The 23184-nt window shown below is 37.4% G+C and overlaps 2 protein-coding genes across 3 annotated transcripts in view, besides 2 other annotated features; both read right to left on the bottom strand.

Moving 5' to 3' along the window:
* Positions 1 to 23184, bottom strand: part of FPGT-TNNI3K (FPGT-TNNI3K readthrough) — a 346187-nt gene that overhangs the window by 173451 nt on the left and 149552 nt on the right. For both annotated transcript variants that reach the window (NM_001112808.3, NM_001199327.2), the window contains exons 12-19: positions 17618 to 17712; positions 16849 to 16998; positions 3636 to 3722; positions 3014 to 3070; positions 1864 to 1956; positions 1714 to 1771; positions 1393 to 1587; positions 586 to 690 (exon numbers count right to left, since the gene is read on the bottom strand). In NM_001112808.3, coding sequence (NP_001106279.3) covers positions 586 to 690; positions 1393 to 1587; positions 1714 to 1771; positions 1864 to 1956; positions 3014 to 3070; positions 3636 to 3722; positions 16849 to 16998; positions 17618 to 17712 — 840 coding nt within the window. The remainder of the gene's footprint in view (positions 1 to 585; positions 691 to 1392; positions 1588 to 1713; positions 1772 to 1863; positions 1957 to 3013; positions 3071 to 3635; positions 3723 to 16848; positions 16999 to 17617; positions 17713 to 23184) is intronic.
* The window catches only part of TNNI3K (TNNI3 interacting kinase), a 309042-nt gene that overhangs the window by 173451 nt on the left and 112407 nt on the right, over positions 1 to 23184 (bottom strand). Inside the window, exons 10-17 of the mRNA NM_015978.3 lie at positions 17618 to 17712; positions 16849 to 16998; positions 3636 to 3722; positions 3014 to 3070; positions 1864 to 1956; positions 1714 to 1771; positions 1393 to 1587; positions 586 to 690 (exon numbers count right to left, since the gene is read on the bottom strand). Of these exons, the coding sequence (NP_057062.1) occupies positions 586 to 690; positions 1393 to 1587; positions 1714 to 1771; positions 1864 to 1956; positions 3014 to 3070; positions 3636 to 3722; positions 16849 to 16998; positions 17618 to 17712 (840 nt within the window). The remainder of the gene's footprint in view (positions 1 to 585; positions 691 to 1392; positions 1588 to 1713; positions 1772 to 1863; positions 1957 to 3013; positions 3071 to 3635; positions 3723 to 16848; positions 16999 to 17617; positions 17713 to 23184) is intronic.
* Positions 17755 to 18255: an enhancer, noted in NCBI's record as "H3K4me1 hESC enhancer chr1:74818407-74818907 (GRCh37/hg19 assembly coordinates)". NCBI's record gives its function as "activates a minimal SCP1, AML or CMV promoter by ChIP-STARR-seq in primed H9 embryonic stem cells {active_cell/tissue: H9 hESC(primed)}" and the evidence as "EXISTENCE:reporter gene assay evidence [ECO:0000049][PMID:30033119]".
* Positions 18256 to 18756: an enhancer, noted in NCBI's record as "H3K4me1 hESC enhancer chr1:74817906-74818406 (GRCh37/hg19 assembly coordinates)". NCBI's record gives its function as "activates a minimal SCP1, AML or CMV promoter by ChIP-STARR-seq in primed H9 embryonic stem cells {active_cell/tissue: H9 hESC(primed)}" and the evidence as "EXISTENCE:reporter gene assay evidence [ECO:0000049][PMID:30033119]".

Raw genomic sequence — 23184 nt, 5'->3', positions numbered from 1 at the left:
CACTGCTCCATTTTGTATATTGGCCTTTCCTATAAGACTTTACTCAGAGAAAGTTTTCACTATTTAGGAAAAGTTTTGAGGTCACTTGGGGTTCCACCACTGGAACACTCTGATTTTATATTTGTTTCACATGAAATCCTCTTTACCTGATAACTAGGTAAATAAGCTGTTGTGGTTAAGCTGAATTTACGGTAGCACAAAGTACGTTTCAGATAATTTTATATCAGGAGCTACTCCAACACTTCACTTTATAGGAGACATATCATTTTTTTAATAGCCATTTAGCTCACTGCTTGATGTGACCTTACTGACCTGGGAACTAGTTAGCTGGTGCATCTTACAGATATTACTATATTTGTGAATATTCTTCATAGATTTAAAAGATCCCTGAGAAGCAGTTATACAGCTTTCTACTCCTTAAAAGACAATGACAAAACTTTCTATCGCCTAAGCTTATGGTAGCCTGTCCTCTTAACCACAGAGTACCCTGATCTGCAATAAGTCTAAAATGTATCTTCACTGAAATCTGTCTTAAACTCCCAGTTAGTCATACCCTTCTGAGTTCATTATTTAGGAAAAAAATACCTGTTCAAGTCACGATGTATAATTGGCTGTGTCAGGTTGTGAAGGTACTCCATGCCTTTGGCAACATCTACTGCAATAATTAATTTAGACTGCAAATCAAGAATCCTAGAATTTAAAAATAGATTTAACAGAGATGAAATGGTCAAAACGAATATCAAAAAAGCAAATGATGTGTAAGAGTTGTTATTTTATATCATCTTAACCATTTTTTGTTTCTTGAAGGTTAAGCTAGAAATTCAACAAATCTGAATAGCTTTCCTACATCAGAAAATGCTTAATTATGAATCAATTAAGATATACAGCATCTCTTGTTTAAGATATTATACTTGGTTTTATAATTTATTTATAATACTATACTTAATTTCTTTGTAATATTGTAAAATGAAATCTATTTTAATCACTGTATGAAACTACATTCTAATTACTATATGCATAAACTCAGAAAGTGAATTCACATTGGATTTGTTCAAGATCACTTTTTTAAAAGTTTATTTTATTCTGAGCTTACATATATCTTCTTTATCAGTATTTCAAATTTAGCCTAATTATTTTAAGCTCCAGTTTCCAATTTAAATTCCTTAAATTTGTTATCTTCAACTGAATTTCTGCTAAGAAAGCATAAAGTATTTCTATTCATTGAAACACAGTTATTAGGCATAAATTATTAGCGATATTAAAAATGACACACTTGCTAGCAGCACTCAGATTTCAAAAGGTGAAGGCTCATCCAATGGGAAACCCTCTGAAGTATTGCAAGAGTAGTTTCTACGGAATGTCCAAGGATAAATCAGAACAAAAGACCCATACCTCTTCTGCTCATGAAGGAGGGAGAACAGAGAACCCCCTGATATGTATTGAGTGACAATGGCAAACTGGCTGGGATCATTCAAGCAAGCACCCACAAACTGAATTACGCAGGGATGATTGAGCTGGCAGAGAATGGACACCTCTCGGCAAAACATATCCACATCTGACTTGGAGCAGTAGGTATTGGCTCGATAACTGGAAATGGCAGCAACAGAAAATCTTCAGTAAACAGATGGATCCAAACAAGGGGCTTGCCATGCACATGCTTCTCAAAGGTCACAATTCCACCTGGATGTTAAATTTTTTCATTTGCTTGCTTACCGTTTTATAGCCACTATTTTATTTCTGCATCGTCCTTTATATACTTTCCCAAAAGAACCTACAATTGTTTAAAATAAATAAATAAACACATATTAACTTAAGCTCATTCAACTAAACCGGACCTTTATTTATTTATTTATTTTAGGTTACCTGAGCCAATAATCTCATGGAACTCAATTTCTGAGAGCTGAAGATGGAAATGTGAAGGCAATCCAGCTCTTAGGAGGAGAATATCTGCCTTCTCTGCAAAGAGAAATTGTCATTTTATTTTTTAAGGTAAAAACCACACACATGGATGTGTATACATGTGCATATATATATTTAACTAAAAACATAATTTCCTAATAACATTTAATTTTTAATTTTCCAACTGTAATTGACTACTTAAAGATGCTAAAACCTTAACCCAAATGATCCCTACCCCCCTGCATTAAAATCATGTTAGTTCTATGTCTTGATTACTCACTCCTTGTTACCAGGGCTAAGGGTCTATTCCTGATCTGGTTACCAGGGCTAAGGGTCTATTCCTGATCTGGTTACCAGCGCTAAGGGTCTATTCCTGATCTACTCACTCCTTGTTAGCAGGGCTGAAGGTCTATTCCTGATCTATTCCTGCATGACATGGCAACCCTGGAGTCCAGTCCGTATCACATTATGATAAAGGTTCTGATCTGGTAACTCTCTTCAGTCTATTCCAATAGGCTTAGCCAAATATCCATAAACTAACCTCAAAGGGATGCCAATTAAATGACAGGAAATAAGCGTATGAATCATTCTAAGGAAACACTCATTCTACATTCTAAGGAAACTATTTGGAATTTAAATTCCAAATAGTTAAATATATATTTACATTTGAATCAAAGTTTTTACTTTCCTGGTCCAATGTTATTCATTTCTGTGTGAAGCATACATTCAAAAATGGTCCCAAAGTATTACTTATTGGGGATATTTTGAAAAATAATATATATTTTTTCACATATGTTTTCTAGTCCCAATTCTCCTTAAAGAAATATTAATATTTATAATTCATTTTTATAAAAAACAGAAACATCTAAACAGTCCAGTGAGAATTTGATTTTTCTTTAATAGTTATGTGAAATTTTCACTGTTATTATATCTTTATGCACTGAAAGGAGATAAAGGGTAAGGTTAATTATGAAAAGAACGGTCTGTCAATAATATTTGTTGTGCTTGTAAAATAGTCATCATTTGTAATATGTAAAACAAAATTGAAAATTACATTTGAAGCAATAGTTATCCTTAGTAATTAAATATAACAATTGTCCCAGATTATAGGTACCTTTTGTCATGCTTTTAATCTTCCCCAAGGGTGATGGAACAGACACATAGGAGCCATCTAGAAATTAAATTATATAATAGAGTTGAAAGTAGCGATCATTTTTTTCTACATAAAAGTTCAACATTATAAAAATAAGCAGGTGACGAAACGAAGTAAAACTATCGCTTCAGGCCCAAATCTTTCTCTGGATACTGAAATTGTACTGCAAGTGTTTATTTAGAAAGTGCATAAAAAGATTTTTTAGAAAATCCAAGTTGTAGCAGACTCTAGCAGATTTAATTTGTCTCTGGATATGAGTATTCAGTAATAGATTACTGAAATGGAAAATGACTGCTCTCAGCTTATCCAGGCCTTCCTAGTCATGCACAAGCCTCATAAACATCCAGTCTGGGAAATGTTAAACTTGGAGGAGCTGCAGATTGGTGAGTTAGAAAATAGCTGAAATGGAGGCTTCTTTATGTTCAGCCTCTCCCAGACATAAGGTTACTTAAAATAAATCTAATCTGACATAGGCTATGCCCTCCTCCCTAACCCCTGAAAGAATGATAGTAACAGAAACACAGGTTTACCTTTAGGCACAATATATTATACAATAATGAAAACTGAATAAGAAAAGGGGTACCTCCTCCAGGCTGAGAATATTCATTACAGGGCAATTCATCTTGTGGTCTCTTATAATGCTTCAGGAGTGTGACAATGGCATCATGCCCTTTATGAAAAGATACAAAGAACAAAGAGTCCTAAATTTTGTTTAAGTTATTCAGTCTACTCTCAAATCCAAAAATTATTGGAAGTAGCTTACAACATAGGACAAATCATAAGAGGTAATGTATTGCAATAGAAATTTAGTTCATTCATTCTTTGGTTCAAAATGATTTCTTAAGACTACCATATGCGAAGCACTATGTCAGGCACTCTACTGGGAATGGGTACTGGTGATGCAGTGAACAAAGTGACTATGGTCTTACCCTTAAGAAGCTTACAATGTAGTTGAACAAATAATCAGAAAAATGATGAGGATTTCTAAATAAGGCAATACTAAGTACTATGGGAATATATAATAAGGGCACTATTAAAAGGGCAAAAAGTACATACAGTAATCAGGAAAGAGAGATGTATTTGCTGTGATTGAGCGTACATTTGATTCAGTATTGTAGTATTATGCAGCACTAAGATAATTTACATAGGTTTTTAGAGACAGCTGGCTGCCTGCCAATATTTGTACTCCTCTTTCACAGGGTGATTTTGTCACTGGGAATGGCTGCCCACCCAGTGACATTTTCCTATGTACCTTGCATCCAACTGTGGCCTTGCGACATATTTTCATGAAGGGAATATGAGCAAAAGTGAAGTAACTTCCAGGTCTGTGCCTTAAGAAACAGGTGAGCCTTCTCTACTCTTCCCATTTGCTGGCTAGATGCAGAAGGCTCTGAAGCTCTGAGGGTTGGAAGAAAGCCATCCACTGACCAGAAATGCCCACCCTGAAGTGCTATATGAGAAATACTTTTCTATTATAACACCACCAACAATCTAGTGTTTACTAGTTACACTAGGGGCTTATGATTGTGAAGGATAAAAAATGCCAAATGATCCTCTGAGTAATGCAATGTTTTTCAATAAAATTAAACTTCAATACTATTTTAATGCGTTCACTATAAAAATAATCTATGAAGCTAATTTACAAAAGAGAAAAACAGCCAACCTTAAAGATGTTGCCATAGGATTTGTGAAATACAACAGAGCTTATTGTAAAACTGGTAAATTTAAGGAATTGAAAAAGCATAAATACTTATCCATCACAAAGGATCTGTAGTTAACATGGGTTAAGCATACATCTAGCTTATGTAGAGAGTATATGCTGAGATTTGCTTGCCTTTCAAATCTTCCCTTCCGCAAAAACTTTAAATGAACAGTGCATTCAAGATCATGAGGTGGAAAAATCATGGTATTTACAAACACGAAAAGCTTTTCCAAAGGTAACAAGGCTAAGATTCTTCGAGGAAAAAAAAAAAAAGCATTGTGATTACAATTGCTAAAACTGGTAGCAAAACTTAAATCTACATAGTTAAAAACTAGTGTCTATTTTCTTATCATCTCCAGCTTTCTATTCATGACTGGTGGATCTCTAATTTTCTCAAATCATAGGAATAAGTTATAATGAAATAACGTGGGGGGCAGTCCCATTGGCATTCTTTCTTTGGACTGCAGCGAGCTCACGATCAGGGAAACCTTAAGACTAATTTAAGGACATTAGCCAACAAACTAATTTCTAGGGGAAGCACCTAATAGGCAGAGAGAATAGATAATGTAGTAGTCCCAAGATGGGAGCAAACATAACATGTTTAGAGAATGAAAAAAGGCCAGTGTGGCTACACAAGCAAGGATGAGAGTGGTATCAGATTTGGTTGGAGAGGTAGGCAAGTGTACTTCATGTGGAGTAGTGCTTCTCAAATTTTTTTACTATGTATAAGAATCACTTGAAGTGCAAGTTCAAACAGATTCCCAAGCCCTGTCCCAATAGATCACAATTGAAAAAGTCTGTAGTAGGGGCTGAGTGTTGTGTTTCTAACAAGGTCCCAGGTGATGCTCATCAGCAATCTGCACTTTGACTGCGACTGATGTAGAGCTTTACAGGTGAGGATAAGGAGATGAGATTTTCGTGTAGGGTAGGCGAGATGGGGAGCCCCTGAAGCATTTTAATTAGTTAAAGGATATGATCTGTTTTACTTTTTAAAAAGATCGTCATCTACAGGTTAGAAACGATAATCCACCCTTGTAAGATTGTTGTAAAGATTAACTAAGATGATGTATGTAATATGCCTTACAGTTCTAACACATCAGTGTGCATTTTGGGTCTTGTCACTGCTTTTACACTTTACTTTTTGCCCCAAGAATTGTAGGTGAACTTGGAAACTCCTTTTTGGAATTTCAGACGAATCTTCTAAATACCAGTGTATTCATTTTCTATTGCTGCTATTGCTAGTTATGACAAACATAGTGACTTGAGCAATACAAATTTATTATCTTATAATTCTGGAGGTCAAAAGTTCAACATGGTTTTCTCTGAGCTGAAATCAAGGTGTCAGCAGGACTGCATTTCTTTCTAGAGGCCTTAGGAGATAATTGGTTTCCTTGACTTTTCCAAGTTTTATAGGCCACCCACATTCCTTGGCTTGTAGCCCCCTTCCTATTGCTTCAAAGCCAGCAATGGTTGGCTTAGTCCTCATATCATATTGCTCTGACCTCTGCTTCTGCCCCCCTTTTCCATATTACAATGAGCCCACTGGGATAATCCAGGATAATCTATCTCTTAAAGTCAGCTAAATAACAACCTTGATTCTTCCCCATGTAAGGCAGCCTACTTACAGTTCCAACAAACAGGACCTGAACATCTTTGGGGGTGGCGGGGGGCATTACTCTACCTCCTTGATTCTTCCCCATGTAAGGCAGCCTGCTTACAGTTCCAGTGAACAGGAACTGAACATCTTTGAGGGGGCATTACTCTACCTACCACATCCAGTTTCATGAATATTTCAGTGTGCTTGTGCCTTGCTTGTGTGTTGGTGCTGCCTGCTGTTGAGCATTTTCTTTTCTAGCTTTGGTGGCCATTTTAACCTCAGGATAAAAGTAGTACTAAAGACCAAAAATTCCTTTGGAATTAAAATTTGGCTGAGTGTCTTGACTCATACCCCAGTGTTTTGTGGGGCTGAGGTGGAGGGATTGTTTGAGGCCAGGAGTTGAAGACCAGGCTGGGCAACATAGCATGACCCCTATTTCTAAAAAAAATTTTTTTTTAAATTAGTGGGGCATGGTAGCATCTGCCTGTAGTCCCAGCTACTGGGTAGCCTGAGGTGGGAGAATCACTTGAACCCAGGAGTTTAAGATTGTAGTGAGCTACAATCACACCATTGCACTCCAGCCTGGGCTAGACCTGGGTGAGACCCTGTCTCTAAAATAATAATAATAATAATAATAATAATAATAATAATAATACCCCTCATCTGTTCCTTGCTAGAGTCACAGATTCTAAGGTTTTTTTTTATTTTTTATTTATTTTTTCCTCCCTTCACACTGTCTAATCCCACATTAATAGGACCTATAGTGCTTTTGGAATCTTCCTTTTACTTAATTTGGTCTTCAAGTGTTTGGGCCCAGGAAAAACACAAAAACAAAAACTTTTTCTTATTTCTGTTTTTCCTAGGAGACACTTCTTGGGGGAATAAAAACAACCCAAACCCCTACATTTACCCAAGCACAACAAAGCTTAATTCACAGAGCCCACCTTCCAGTCTATCTCAGCCCCTATATAGAATTGACATCGGCTGACAGATGAGAGGGCCTCATGCTTTCCCCAATGAAGCAGAAAGTTGCATCCTGAATCCTGAGCGCCTGTGTGAGTTAGTGATCACACCCTTGATGTTACCTTTCATTTCAACAGCTCTCTTGGCTCCACTTGCTCTGAGCAGTTTTCATTTCCTGCCAGCACAGTGGCACAATTTGCTGGCATTTTCTTTGGGATGCTTTTCATCAAGAGCCTAATGAGTGCCTGGGTTCTGGCTGATGATAAGCATGAGGCTGCCAGGAAAATGCCAAGAGGCCCCCTCAGCTCTGGAAGGCATCTCTGCCTGATTTCCCCCCTCATGCTAACTGTGGGCTAAGGCACCCACGTATGGGAAATTTTCCATGACTACAACTGCTCTGACAAGCCACTAAAGTACATGGAAAGAAACCCAAAACCCACTAAAGCCCAGCTCCTGGACACTTGGCCACAAGGAGTTAGGCAGAAAAATAAACCTTAATGGAGCTCACTAAATGGACGTGTTAAGCCAAACTCCTGATAATGGATACACCCAGATAACCAAGGCACACTAATGGAATACCTCCAGAGATAATCAAACTTCCACTAATTAAATAAAATGTTTTCCTATATTTAAGAATTTACTATCTACACCCAAGCATTTTACCAAAATAGAAGGTCGCTATGTTATTAGCCTAATGCAACTCTAATGATGATCTGCACTTTTAGAGTATTATTCACTGGAGCACCTGAGGGTTTTGGCAAATGTGATTCTTCTCCCAGCTTGAAATCTCTTTCATTTCCTGCTCCTCACTCTTTCAGTCCTGTGTGTATTCTCCAAATTCAGTGCTTTCCCTTTAATTTGTCTATTTGTGTTCCTTTACTTCTTATATTTGGTGTGATTTCTCCCCCTGTTAAATCCTCTTTGCTTTCAACTTTCTTAATAGTTATTTTAAAACCTAGGTTTTGTTTAAGATGACAAGTCAATCCAAGAGACTGTTACAAAGACAGTTTAATATCTACATCATAGTCATATATACAATAGATGCTTTATAATTATTCAAGAAGGGAAGTACAATTTATCTCCCTATAAGGTTGTCTCTCTGTCCCCCACAATTTTAACTTAAAAACAATGAAAGCTGATTCTAATCTCTTGCTCTGAGAATATTTTAAGAACTAGATCTGGAGATTAGTGGTAAATGACACCAGTACTAAGATCTCCATGATTTGGTGACTCAGAGACCCTTTGGGTTCACGGCTGTATAGAGAACATGGAGATTTAGTCTCAGTTACAGAAGGAATTCTCATTGACCTCATGTCTCACATGCTCAGGTCATCAAAGGAACAGACTAGGCCTTACTTTATACCTGGCCCAAATAATCAAACTTTCACAGTAATGATAAATATTAGGCTTTGTTCAATATTTTAATATATCCCCTTCCCATTATGTTAAAAACTCACTTTCCAGAAGCATTGAAAAGTGGAATCAGAGGGTGGCTTTGGACAATTGCCCTTCAATGGCTCACCTTCCTCCTGACCACCCTGGTCCCATACACTGTTCATTATTAGATCAGAGGCGACAAAAATTTCTGGCTTGCTACATCTTCTCATCACTTAAATATGAAAGATGTCCTAATTTTATATCACAGAGAGGGAACTCACATCCCCTTTGACCCATTATTCTTGTTCCTTAATCAGCAGGCCCCAGTAAGGATGTCACTGGTCCTTTACCTTAAGAGAAGAATCCACAGGCATGAATGCTTTTGCCAAGATATTTTTATATCCAAACTAAATTATTTAGCTATCCTTCCTTTTTCTCTTTTTCTCATTCTGCTTTCCTTTCTCTTTCCTTTTCTTCCTCAAATATTCATTGTGCACCTATGAGGGGCCAGCTCCAATAACACCTTCCCAGAGAGACCTTCCCCTTCCATGATTACTCAATTTTAGATAGTATCCTTGAATTTTGTGTTCACCATTGCATTTCCTTCTTATTTTATTCATAGTACTTATTGTTAACCCATATTTTCTATTTGCTTTCTTGCTTGCAGCCTGTGTCTTCAAGTTAAAAATGCAAACTCCCTAAGATCAGGGAGGTATTATCTGTTTTACTGTTCCTAGCACAGTGTCTGTCACACATTAGGTTGGCAATACATTTTTGTTGAACGAATGAATGATACTAGGTATGAGTGAGAGGGTTGAAAAAGAAATATTATTTACTTTTATATTCAATGCTATCTAGTGGAAAAAATTACATAAATATAATTTCACTCAAATTTTATTTAGCCAAGCTCTAGGAAGAAAAGGTACATGATGTGAATGTGTATAATGGTGAATCTTACAACAGTCTGGAAGAGTCAGGATAGTTGAGACTGTCTTTTAAGCTCAACTTGAAAGATGAGGACAAACTCATTAAGCAAAAAGGTAGGAGAAAAGCATTCCAACCAGAAGAAAATTTTTGCAGTTCCAATGCATGGAAAGAGGAGCTTTAGAACATATTTTAAAATATTTTGCCTGTTTATTTGAATATTAGGACTGTGCAGTTAATAAGGAACCTATGATATTTACAGAAATAGTTACAGAGACAACAGAAAAGTGACAGTTAGTATTTCTTAGAATATCAACTCACCAGATGCCATGTAGCAGAACATGGAAAAGAATGTTGTCTAAAATATTTTCTTCCTGTCTCTCTTACTGATTTCAACAAGCATGAATATCTATTAGGAGTCATCCACTGAATTCAAATTTTTGGAAGACAATGAATTAAAGGCCCAAATGCTTGCTCTCAAGAAGTTTACAATTTGGTAAGAGAAGAGAGTGTTTCAGTATAAAGTGGTAAACACAGAGAAAGAGATGTGCACATAACAAAATAAAATATAAAGAAAGGATGTATGTGCTAGGCTGGAATGTCAGGGAAGACTTTCTAGAAATATTCAATAAGACTAGGAGACTTCCATAAACTAAGTCTTGAAGACCAAGTGGCAATCAGAAATTTAAAGAATGGGGTGACATGGAGAGGACAGAGAGGACATAAAGGCAGATTGGACTGCCATGTAAAAGTCTTGGAAACATGAAATAACATGACATATGTAAGGATGAATGAGCAGTTTTATACTATCCCTATTATGTGAAGTGACACGGCCTCACAGGGTTATTATGTGGATTTGATGAGTTAATATATGTGAAGTATTTAGAACAAGCATGGCAAAGAGTGAACACTGAGTGAATGTTGGTGATCTAGCGAATATGATGATGGTTGTGGCATGTGGGGTTGCCCATGTAACAGGAGTAAGAGGATATGAGGTTCAAGAGGCAAGAAGTACACAAGACAATAAAGTCTCTGTGTGTTATGATATCAAGCTGAGACTTTTTCTTATGGGTGACAGTATATCAGAGAAAGGTTTTAGACTGGGGAATAATACGGCCTTATTTGCACCTTGAATATATCTCTCAGTCTACAGTTGGAAAATTTCAAAATGCTGAGGACAAAAAAGGGCAGTTATGAGGTTATTAAAATGGATTAGAAGAAGTATTATGAGGATCTGAATTAAAATAGTGATAGTAAAAAAAAAGAAAAAAGGATGGATTAAAAATGTACTTATTAAGCAAAATAAAGAAGACTTTTTGATTGAATCGATAGGATGTGTGGTGGGAGGAGAAGTTGAGGAGGAAAAAGTAATCAAGCATCATTCAAGATTTCTGACCTAAGTGACAAAGTGGATGGTAATACCATTAAATGGCTGATTGAATAAAGGATACATAGTACAAGAAAGAGAATCATGAGGACAAAAAAAAATGTTAAGTTCAATTTTGGACTTGTTGAGTTTTGCAGGGTCCTCAGATATCCAAGCAAAGAAATCAAGCAGTCAGTTGGTATGGTGGTTTGAAAATATGATCACAAATTCTTTGACATTCCTCCTTGACTGTGGAGAAAAACCCTGCTGTAGGAAAGAGGCTTGCAAATTTGTGCTATAGTTTTAAAATATTGTTTTATGTATTTGCATGCAACTACGCACATTAGAATAATGTCTTTGGATTACTTTCATAATATTTTGATTAGTTATTTTCAAAATCTCCTTTATTTTGCTTCAGTTCTGAGGCTTAAAATTAATGGTATAACTTGAGCCATAAATAAGAAATACCAATATAACAAAACAACACACACTTTTATATATGCAGGGATTGTCCAGAGGCGTTTGGCAGGAATATAAGCCCTTCATCAGAGGGTTTATAGCGGATTCCTATTATCCTAATATATTAAAATTTCTAACTGTACATGTTATAAATTAGGAAAGACCATGAAATTTGGGAGTTATGTGGATTCGATTGAATCTCTGCTCTGCACTTACCAATAAGAGCTGCCGCCATTCTTATTGAGACTCTGTTATGTGCCAAGCACTTAAATCTTATCCTTAAACCTCGTCAGAATTCTGTAAAGTGGTTATTAATATCCTCATTTTGAATTTGAGGGTAAATGCTGAAAGAGGTTAAAGGCCTTGCACAAGGTCATTAAATAATAAGGATGGAGTTTTGGCTTAGATCTAATTTTACAGTGTGTTGGTAAGAGCTTGAATTCTACAACAAGACAGACCTCCTATTTGGTACTGCCTCTCTACTCAACAACTGCATGGATTGGGCAAGTGTGACTTAGCAGCCCTAAGTCTTAATCTCTTTATCTATAAAACAAAGATAATAAAAATTTAAAGGGTTATTTTGATTAAATTATATATACATATATATGCATCTGTAAAAGATACTCAATGAATGTAAGTTCTCTTTTACTATCCATTTTAAGTATGTGAATTCTTACGTTATTATATTTCAAAAACATTTTTGTGAGTTATCTCCCTGCAATGATGAAGGTTTTTCCATTCTAATGACAGTTGAGATTATTTTACTTACTTATTTTTTTTAAAAGAGAGCAGCTAAACATGTAAGAAGATAACCAGTATACGAAAACAAAAATTCACACATGGATTCCTTACCCCAATCCACTCTTGCACACTAAACCAGTATCACTAAACTAAGTAACTAAACTTGAAATAGATAGGAATTCAATATAGAAAAAGCCTGAGAGTTCATAATCTATTGGTGAAAATTTATCAAATAATTTAATGAATCTATCTCTTCTTACTTGTACTCCTCTCCCACCCTCATTTCTCAGTTATTTTTTTACTGTCTAAAAACTGTAGAAACTCATGACTGTAAGATTTCATTACTTTCAGAGAATACACTATAGTACATTTACTACAAATAATTCACACAATACTACACTTGTCAAAAGGAATGAACAAAGTATATATCATGGTACAGGAGCCTTGATTTTTATTGTTTTTGCTCCCTTATTCACTAATTCTCCACCTCCAGCTTCCTGTCACTGTGAATTAGGCGCCTTTGCTGTATACAAATATTGTATTCTGGGTAATTTGATATTGTGATAGGAGCCTCTGTATATTACTTTAACTGGTGTCAGTACTGAAACGAATAAGAAGTTTTTAGTTCTGTTTCTAGTTTAGGTTATTTTCTGACCCTAAACAGCCTGACATATAGGAGTGCTTTTCTTTGTCAAAGGCAGCCTTTTCAAATCTAACTGCCAGACACACTATTGAGCTATGTGTTCAATTCTAATTGGCTGAGATCTTTTCAATTCGGCAGTTTCATCTTTAATGCAATGGATGTAAGATTATGTGTAGGTCTTTTCAATGGGTTTTCCATACTGGTGATTAGGGCAGAGGATTTGAACATAAGCAGGCTGCTGGCTATTTCTTCTGACCAATTTAAATTGATTCATGCTGGTCCTTTGTACCACAGGAAAAGGGCAGAACAAATCCAAGTGAGTGAGACAGCGATCGCTACACTTTCAGATTGGAATAGTAGAAACGAAGAAGGGGAGAGATGGGGAGGGGAGACACTCTAAATATTGTAAAATTGGAGCTCTAAGCACTCTGGCAGATAAATATTGAAACTTAAACAGTGGCTTCTGTGTAGGATGACGGTCACCAGGAAAATTATTTTCAAGATTGATTTTGATATATTTAGGTTAGAAGGGCTATGCAAATAGAAAGCATTCTTTATATCTGATTCCACAGGGAACCATAGTGAGTAAACCCTTTTCTGAAAGCATTCCAAAAGAGAATATATAACTCTTCCAGAACTCCAAATCACACTTCAATGTGCCATATCAGAATAGTAGAAAGAAGGTCAGCTAAAATTTAGCTTGGGTCAGGTGAAAAATTTGGCTTAGAGCCATTCAGATAGAGACGGGTGCTGCTGAGAAAGACTGCATGGTTTTCTGTTAAGAGATTAGACTAGGATGAACTATTTAAATTGGGCGTATCCAAAAGTAGACCTATTCAAATAGACACCCTTGATTGTGAAGCTCCCTTCTTGTTTATCTCTCCCGGGATAGGATAGGGTACATGGTAAACCATGATGGGGCCATTCTTACATCAAGTAGAGTTTTAGTCCTTCCTCAGCTTTACCTCCAAATTGCTCAGGGAACTCCTTAGTATGCTATATCAATTAATATAGTGATTCCCTCTCCAAGGAGGCAGGGAAGCACTTCTTGTTTCAAAGGATACGGGGACAGGTGCACTGCTGACAATATTAACAAGGCCACTTCAGTTCTCCCTGAACACATGAAAACAATGCAACATTTTTTTAGGAAGAGAAAAATAGCAACAATTCCATTTGTCATTTGACTTGCTTTGCCCTAGAACATTTGCAAAACATCCATCTGTCTTCTGAGCAACAACATTCAATTTGTTAAAATTCATAGTAATAATGGAATGCAACACTGATGCCTGGCACATTAGTTTGAACAAATACAGTGACAAATACAGCATATGTTGAAGAGGCCAGTGGGCAAGTCCTCTAAGTTAAAGGATCTTTGTTGACATTTCATAGGAAATCTTAGAAGCTTACACAATGATTCACTGTTTCATAGAAGTGTGGAATTCCATGAAAAATAAAAGTAAAGCCAGTTTTCAACTATCACTCTCAATCAGCTAAAAACAAACAAAGCCAACCTCTGTGAAGAGATAGCTGCAGCAGCAATTTCTGAGCTGCCTTCCGGAAGACTAATGCTTTGTAAACAGTCTTACACTGAAGCTAACATTTCTTGAGAGTCACTGTCTGAGAATCACTTGAATAAATGCAATGTGTTGAGGAGGTAGAATTTAGTAAGGCCTCCTGAGATTTCAGAAAATTTAAGATTTTCCAATTGATATTAAGATATAGAGCTACCTAGATTTTTTAATACAAAGTAGAACACCTTTATATCTAATAGAAATGCAACCATATATTCAACGAAAGACATATATCTACATATATGAATGTTCATAACACAGTACTCTTAATAGCCCCAAATTGAAAATTATCCAAATGCTCGTGAACAGTAGAATGAATTAAAAAATTGTGATATAGTCACAAAACATTATACTATACAATGATAAGAATGAACAATCTACAACTGCCTGCAACAATGTGAATGAATCTCACATATTGTTGGCTGAAAAAAGCCAGACACAAAGAAGTACATAGCATAGCATTTCATTTATATAAAGTGCAGAAAGTGGCAAAACGACTATGCCACAAGAAGGCAGTGGTAACCTCTTTAGGGGAGTGATTGGAAGAGAATGTCAATGGGGCTTTTAGGGGACTTGTTATGTTCAGTTTCTTCATTTGGGTGCTGGGTGAGTTCAATCTGTGAAATTCATTGACCTATATGGTTATAATATGTGCAAAGGTATATATATGTTTGTATTTATACAATATTCAAATAAAAAGCAAAATAAGCCCACCAAAATACAGCAAGCCTATATCTAACTTATTACTTAATATTCTATGTCTGTTCACTTGTCTTTATTAAAGTAACTCCCACATCATTTTTCTACTAGCAGTCTTCAGACCTGTACATTTTTCCTTCTCCTTGTCTATACGCTTACTGCATGCTTACAACAGCTCTACATTTTCATCCATCAGACTACATTTCTCCTTTCATTGATGGACTTTCATATCCCACTTTATTTATTTATTCATTTATTTATTTATTTATTTATTTATTTTTGAGACGGAGTATCGCCCTGTTGCCAGGCTGGAGTGCAATGGCATGATCTCAGCTCACCACAACCTCTGCCTCCCGGGTTCAAATGATTCTCCTGCCTCAGCCTCCCGAGTAGCTGAGATTACAGGCATCTGCCACCACACCCAGCTACTTTTTGTATTTTTAGTAGAGACAGGGTTTCACCATGTTGGCCAGGCTGGTCTTGAACTCCTGACCTTGTGATCTGCCCACCATGGCCTCCCAAAGTGTTGGGATTACAGGCATGAGCCACCGCGCCTGGCCCATATCCCACTTTAGTCAGAAAACCTTTCGAATCAACTTGGTAGGCTAGGAAATCTTATAGCTTAATAATTGTTATTTTCAGTACAATCTTTTAGGATTTGAGTATTTAAAAAGATAACTATGTTTCTTTACACATTTTTAATATTGTAAAAAGACAATGCAGTCATCAAAAGTTAAAATAACAATTAAAATGTGACTTTAAAATCTGGCATTTTTTTATAGTATTCAATTATAACCTATAATTTCAAAGACAATATATATTCTTTCATATCACCTAAAAATCTAAACTCCTTAGGAGTGTATGTGTATATGGAGAGCTTGCTTATGAGGCAAATATATCTCAATAACAATTACAAAGATGCTTTTCACCATCTGAATGTCTTCAGTTACTTCTCCCTTGAAATGATGAATTTGTTATCAATCATCTTTATTTCTGAGCTACTAGTAGTCCCACTGTTATCACACTAAAATAGCAATTACTTAGCATTTATTTTGTGTCAGCCACTGTTCTAAGCAATTTGCGTATATTATCTCATTTAATCTTTACAATCTTATAAAGTAGAATTTATAATCCTTATTTTTCAGATGAAGAAAATGGAGTTCAGAAATATTAAATAATTTGCACAAGATCAAATAATATGGCTTGATTTAAACCCAGTTGTTTTCATACCAGATCTCAAGCTTTCACCACTTTGAGCTCAGATAATTTTATACTTAAGCAAATAAGTTTATATTCAAATAAGTTTACACTTGGGTCCCTCACATTTTCTAGCACAAGCATTGTCAGCAGGGTTAGATCTGACAAATATTTCTTTCCCCCCCCCTTGTACTTCTTTCTTATAAATTTGAAACCACATGAAAATTCCCCCATATAAGAGATAAAGACTAGCTCTGAGCCCACTCTACTATCATTATCTATCACAATTTTGTTTCTCTGGTACTTAGAAATGTGACAATTCCCTTTTCAAAGTGCCAATACTGAGAATGCCTTTGGTTCATCTGCAGCCTAGGAGTTGCCTTCTCTGATTACAGTGTATTGGACTCTTTGATCCAAGGCCCCAGAAACTCAAGTAAAATCTACAGAAGAAATGAGAGTGTTCAAGTCATGCAAGCAAAGTAATTATTGATGCACTGACATAATCTATGCACACAGTTCAATGTATCACTATAGAGACACGATGATTAAAAATATACCTTTTTCATAAGCCCACATCAAACATGTCTGCTCATCTTTTTCACCACTAGACCTGCTGGGATCACAAGCCACTAGATTCATATCAGCTCCATTATCCAGTAAGAACTGAACCAGGCGAATGTGACCGTGGTAGCAAGCAGAGTGTAATCCTGTAATAGAAAAGAATTGAAAGAACAAAAGGAGAAAAAAGAAAAACTGCTCCCCAATTTTCAAAAGACAGTCATCACCACATAATAGCATTATTTCCAAAGGTATGAAGTAAGGATTGATTTCTTTGATAAAGAACTAATTTTATTATTGACCAAACGAGACATCACTTTAAGCAAAACGGGTATTATATTGTACTCAACCTTCTACAGAGACTGTCTTTTCCTCAGTACAATTATAGTATTTCTACATCCACTGTAATTACCAAGAACAAATGTTAGCATCTTTACACAAATAAAGGAACAAAGACCCATCACAGGTTTTTTTTTTTTTTTTTGATCACCAAATCAAGGGCAGAGCAGTGTGGTCAGTCTGTCCCTAGTGCTGGCCATAAGAGGATGCACTGACTGCAAATAATTTAACACAATAATAAAATTGACCAAAAAGTCAGTCTGCTTTTTATTATTATCAGTCATTATCAATTCTAAATGCTGGCAGTTGATAAAATACCCTTTCCCACTGGAGTTGAGCACTCCCAATGCCCCCACATCCCTTTGCATACCATTATTCTTAATCATTGATAAGCATATAGAACTAGTGGTGTTTTCACCACAGTCTTACCAGTGTGCCCATCCCTTCCTTGGTGGTTGATGTTTATGACATTCTGATCAAGAAGAAATTTGACTAGGTCAATGCTCTTGCCATAGGTACAAGCACTGAAAAAAAAAACCATAAAACAAGAAAGATAGAAGGTCCTTGTTATGAACTAAATTGTGCCCTCTCCCCTACACCTCGAAAAATCATATGCTGAAGTTATAACCCCCATAACCTGACAATGAGACTGTATTTAGGGATTGTATCTTTAAAGAGGTACTTAAGAGGGGTGGAGCCAAGATGGCCGAATAGGAACAGCTCCAGTCTACAGCTCCCAGCATGAGCAATGCAGAAGATGGGTGATTTCTGCATTTCCAACTGAGGTACTGGGTTCATCTCACTGGGGAGTGCGGGACAGTGGGTGAAGCGCACCATGCCTGAGCCGAAGTAGGGCGAGGCATTGCCTCACCTGGGAAGCGCAAAGGGTCAGGGAATTCCCTTTCCTAGTCAAAGAAAGGGGTGACAGACAGCACCTGGAAAATTGGGTCACTCCCACCCTAATACTGCGCTTTTCCAACAGGCTTAACAAACGGCACACCAGGAGATTACATCCCGCACCTGGCTTGGAGGGTCCTATGCCCACGGAGCCTCGCTCATTGCTAGCACAGCAGTCTGAGATCAAACTACAAGGTGGCAGCGAGGCTGGGGGAGGGACGCCTGCCATTGCCCAGGCTTGAGTAGGTAAACAAAGCTTCTGGGAAGCTCGAACTGGGTGGAGCCGACCACAGCTCAAGGAGGCCTGCCTGCCTCTGTAGGCTCCACCTCTGGGGGCACGGCACAGACAAACAAAAGACAGCAATAACCTCTGTAGACTTAAATGTCCCTGTCTGACAGCTTTGAAGAGAGTAGTGGTTCTCCCAGCATGCAGCTTGAGATCTGAGAATGGGCAGACTGCCTCCTCAAGTGGGTCCCTGACCCCCGAGTAGCCTAACTGGGAGGCATCCCCCAGTAGGGGCAGACTGACACCTCACACGGCTGGGTACTCCTCTGAGACAAAACTTCCAGAGGAACGATCAGGCAGCAGCATTTGCGGTTCACCAATATCCACTGTTCTGCAGCCACCACTGCTGATACCCAGGCAAACAGGGTCTGGAGTGGACCTCCAGTAAACTCCAACAGACCTGCAGCTGAGGGTCCTGACTGTTAGAAGGAAAACTAACAAACAGAAAGGACATCCACACCAGAAACCCATCTGTACATCACCATCATCAAAGACCAAAGGTAGATAAAACCACAAAGATGGGGAAAAAGCAGAGCAGAACAACCAGAAACTCTAAAAAGCAGAGCACCTCTCCTCCTCCAAAGGAACACAGCTCCTCACCAGCAATGGAACAAAGCTGGACGGAAAATGACTTTGACAAGTTGAGAGGGGAAGGCTTCAGAAGATCAAACTACTCCCAGCTAAAGGAGGAAGTTCAAACCAATGACAAAGAAGTTAAAAACTTTGAAAAAAAAATTAGACAAATGGATAACTAGAATAATCAATGCAGAGAAGTCCTTAAAGGACCTGATGGAGCTGAAAACCATGGCACGAAAACTACGTGACGAATGCACAAGCCTCAGTAACCGATGCGATCAACTGGAAGAAAGGGTATCAGTGATGGAAGACAAAATCAATGAAATGAAGTGTGAAGAGAAGTTTAGAGAAAACAGAATAAAAAGAAATGAACAAAGCCTCCAAGAAATATGGGACTATGTGAAAAGACCAAATCTACGTCTCATTGGTGTACCTGAAAGTGACAGGGAGAATGGAACCAAGTTGGAAAACACTCTGCAGGATATTATCCAGGAGAACTTCCCCAATCTAGCAAGGCAGGCCAACATTCAAATTCAGGAAATACAGAGAACGCCACAAAGATACTCCCCGAGAAGAGCAACTCCAAGACACATAATTGTCAGATTCACCAAAGTTGAAATAAAGGAAAAAATGTTAAGGGCAGCCAGAGAGAAAGGTTGGGTTACCCACAAAGGGAAGCCCATCAGACTAACAGCAGATCTCTCGGCAGAAACTCTACAAGCCAGAAGAGAGTGGGGGCCAATATTCAACATTCTTAAAGAAAAGAATTTTCAACCCAGAATTTCATATCCAGCCAAACTAAGCTTCATAAGTGAAGGAGAAATAAAATACTTTACAGACAAGCAAATACTGAGAGATTTTGTCACCACCAGGCCTGCCCTAAAAGAGCTCCTGAAGGAAGCACTAAACATGGAAAGGAACAACTGGTACCAGCCACTGCAAAAACATGCCAAATTGTAAAGACCATCAAGGCTAGGAAGAAACTGCATCAACTAAGGAGCAAAATAACCAGCTAACATCATAATGACAGGATCAAGTTCACACATAACAATACTAACCTTAAATGTAAATGGGCTAAATGCTCCAATTAAAAGGCACAGACTGGCAAAATGGATAAAGAGTCAAGACACATCAGTGTGCTGTATTCAGGAAACCCATCTCACGTGCAGAGACACACATAGGCTCAAAATAAAGGGATGGAGGAAGATCTACCAAGCAAATGAAAAACAAAAAAAGGCAGGGGTTGCAATCCTACTCTTGGATAAAACAGACTTTAAACCAACAAAGATCAAAAGAGACAAAGAAGGCCATTACATAATGGTAAAGGGATCAATTCAACAAGAAGAACTAACTATCCTAAATATATATGCACCCAGTACAGGAGCACCCAGATTCATAAAGCAAGTCCTTAGTGACCTACAAAGAGACTTAGACTCCCATACAATAATAATGGGAGACTTTAACACCCCACTCAACATTAGACAGATCAACGAGACAGAAAGTTAACAAGGATATCCAGGAATTGAACTCAGCTCTGCACCAAGTGGACCTAATAGACATCTACAGAACTCTCCACCCCAAATCAACAGAATATACATTCTTTTCAGCACCACACCACACCTATTCTAAAATCAACCACATAGTTGGAAGTAAAGCAGTCCTCAGCAAATGTAAAAGAACAGAAATTATAACAAACTGACTTTCAGACCACAGTGCAAACTAGAACTCAGGATTAAGTAACTCACACAAAACTGCTCAACTACATGGAAACTGAACAACCTGCTCCTGAATGACTACTGGGTAAATAACGAAATGAAGGCAGACATAAAGATGTTCTTTGAAACCAACGAGAACAAAGACACAACATACCAGAATCTCTGGGACACATTCAAAGCAGTGTGTAGAGGGAAATTTATAGCACCGAATGCCCACAAGAGAAAGCAGGAAAGATCTAAAATTGACACCCTAACATCACAATTAAAAGAACTAGAGAAGCAAGAGCAAACACATTCAAAAGCTAGCAGAAGGCAAGAAATAACTAAGATCAGAGCAGAACTGCAGGAAATGGAGACACAAAAAACCCTTCAAAAAATCAATGAATCCAGGAGCTGGTTTTTTGAAAAGATCAACAAAATTGATAGACCGCTAGCAAGACTAATAAAGAAGGAAAGAGGGAAGAATCAAATAGACGCAATAAAAAATGACACAGGGGATATCACCACCGATCCCACAGAAATACAAACTACCATCAGAGAATACTATAAACACCTCTATGCAAATAAACTAGAAAATCTAGAAGAAATGGATAAATTCCTCGACACATACACTCTCCCAAGACTAAACCAGGAAGAAGTTGAATCCCTGAATAGACAAATAACAGGCTCTGAAATTGAGGCAATAATCAATAGCTTACCAACCAAAAAAAGTCCAGGACCAGATGGATTCACAGCCGAATTCTACCAGAGGTACAAGGAGGAGCTGGTACCATTCCTTCTGAAACTATTCCAATCAATAGAAAAAGAGGGAATCCTCCCTAACTCATTTTATGAGGCCGGCATCATCCTGATACCAAAGGCTGGCAGAGACACAACAAAAAAAGAGAATTTTAGACGAATATCCTTGATGAACATTGATGCAAAAATCCTCAATAAAATACTGGCAAACCGAATCCAGCAACACATTAAAAAGCTTATCCACCATGATCAAGTGGGCTTCATCCCTGGGATGCAACCCATGAAAATCAATAAATGTAATCCAGCATATAAACAGAACCAAAGACAAAAAACACATGATTATCTCAATAGATGCAGAAAAGTTTTTAGCTTTCATGCTAAAAACTTTCAATAAATTAGGTATTGATGGGATGTATCTCAAAATAATAAGAGCTATGCATGACAAACCCACAGCCAATATCATACTGAATGGGCAAAAACTGGAAGCATTCCCTTTGAAAACCAGCACAAGACAGGGATGCCCTCTCTCACCACTCCTATTCAACATAGCGTTGGAAGTTCTGGCCAGGGCAATCAGGCAGGAGAAGGAAATAAAGGGCATTCAATTAGGAAAAGAGGAAGTCAAATGGTCCCTGTTTGCAGATGACATGATTGTATATCTAGAAAACGCCATAGTCTCAGCCCAAAATCTCCTTAAGCTGATAAGCAACTTCAGCAAAGTCTCAGGATACAAAATCAATGTGCAAAAATCACAAGCATTCTTATACACCAATAACAGACAAACAGAGAGCCAAATCATGAGTGAACTCCCATTCACAAATGCTTCAGAGAATAAAATACCTAGGAATCCAACTTACAAGGGATGTGAAGGACCTCTTCAAGGAGAACTACAAACCACTGCTCAGTAAAATAAAAGAGGATACAAAGAAATGGAAGAATATTCCATGCTCATGGGTAGGAAGAATCAATGTCGTGAAAATGGCCATACTGCCCAAGGTAATTTATAGATTCAATAGTATCTCCATCAAGCTACCAATGACTTTCTTCACAGAATTGGAAAAAACTACTTTAAAGTTCTTATGGAACCAAGAAAGAGCCCGCATTGCCAAGTCAATCCTAAGCAAAAAGAACAAAGTTGGAGGCATCATGCTACCTGACTTCAAACTATACTACAAGGCTACAGTAACCAAAACAGCATGGTACTGCTACCAAAACAGAGATATAGACCAATGGAACAGAACAGAGCCCTCAGAAATAATGCTGCTTATCTACAACTATCTGATCTTTGACAAACCTGACAAAAACAAGCAATGGGGAAAGGATTCCCTATTTAATAAATGGTGCTGGGAAAACTGGTTAGCCACATGTAGAAAGGTGAAACTGGATCCCTTCCTTACACCTTATACAAAAATTAATTCAAGATGGATTAAAGACTTACATGTTAGACCTAAAACCATAAAAACCCTAGAAGAAAACCTAGGCAATACCATTCAGGACATAGGCATGGGCAAGGACTTCATGTCTAAAACACCAAAAGCAATGACAACAAAAGCCAAAATTGACAAATGGGATCTAATTAAACTAAAGAACTTCTGCACAGCAAAAGAAACCACCATCAGAGTGAACAGGCAACCTATAGAATGGGAGAAAATTTTTGCAACCTACTCATCTGACAAAGGGCTAATATCCAGAATCTACAATGAACTCATACAAATTTACAAGAAAAAAACAACCCCATCAAAAAGTGGGTGAAGGATATGAACAGACACTTCTCAAAAGAAGAC

The sequence above is a fragment of the Homo sapiens genome, chromosome 1 (assembly GCF_000001405.40).
Source record: "Homo sapiens chromosome 1, GRCh38.p14 Primary Assembly".
In the NCBI taxonomy this organism is placed as follows: Eukaryota; Metazoa; Chordata; class Mammalia; order Primates; family Hominidae; genus Homo; species Homo sapiens.
Note: the sequence above shows the minus strand (reverse complement) of the source record. Positions and strands in the feature narration are given on the sequence as shown.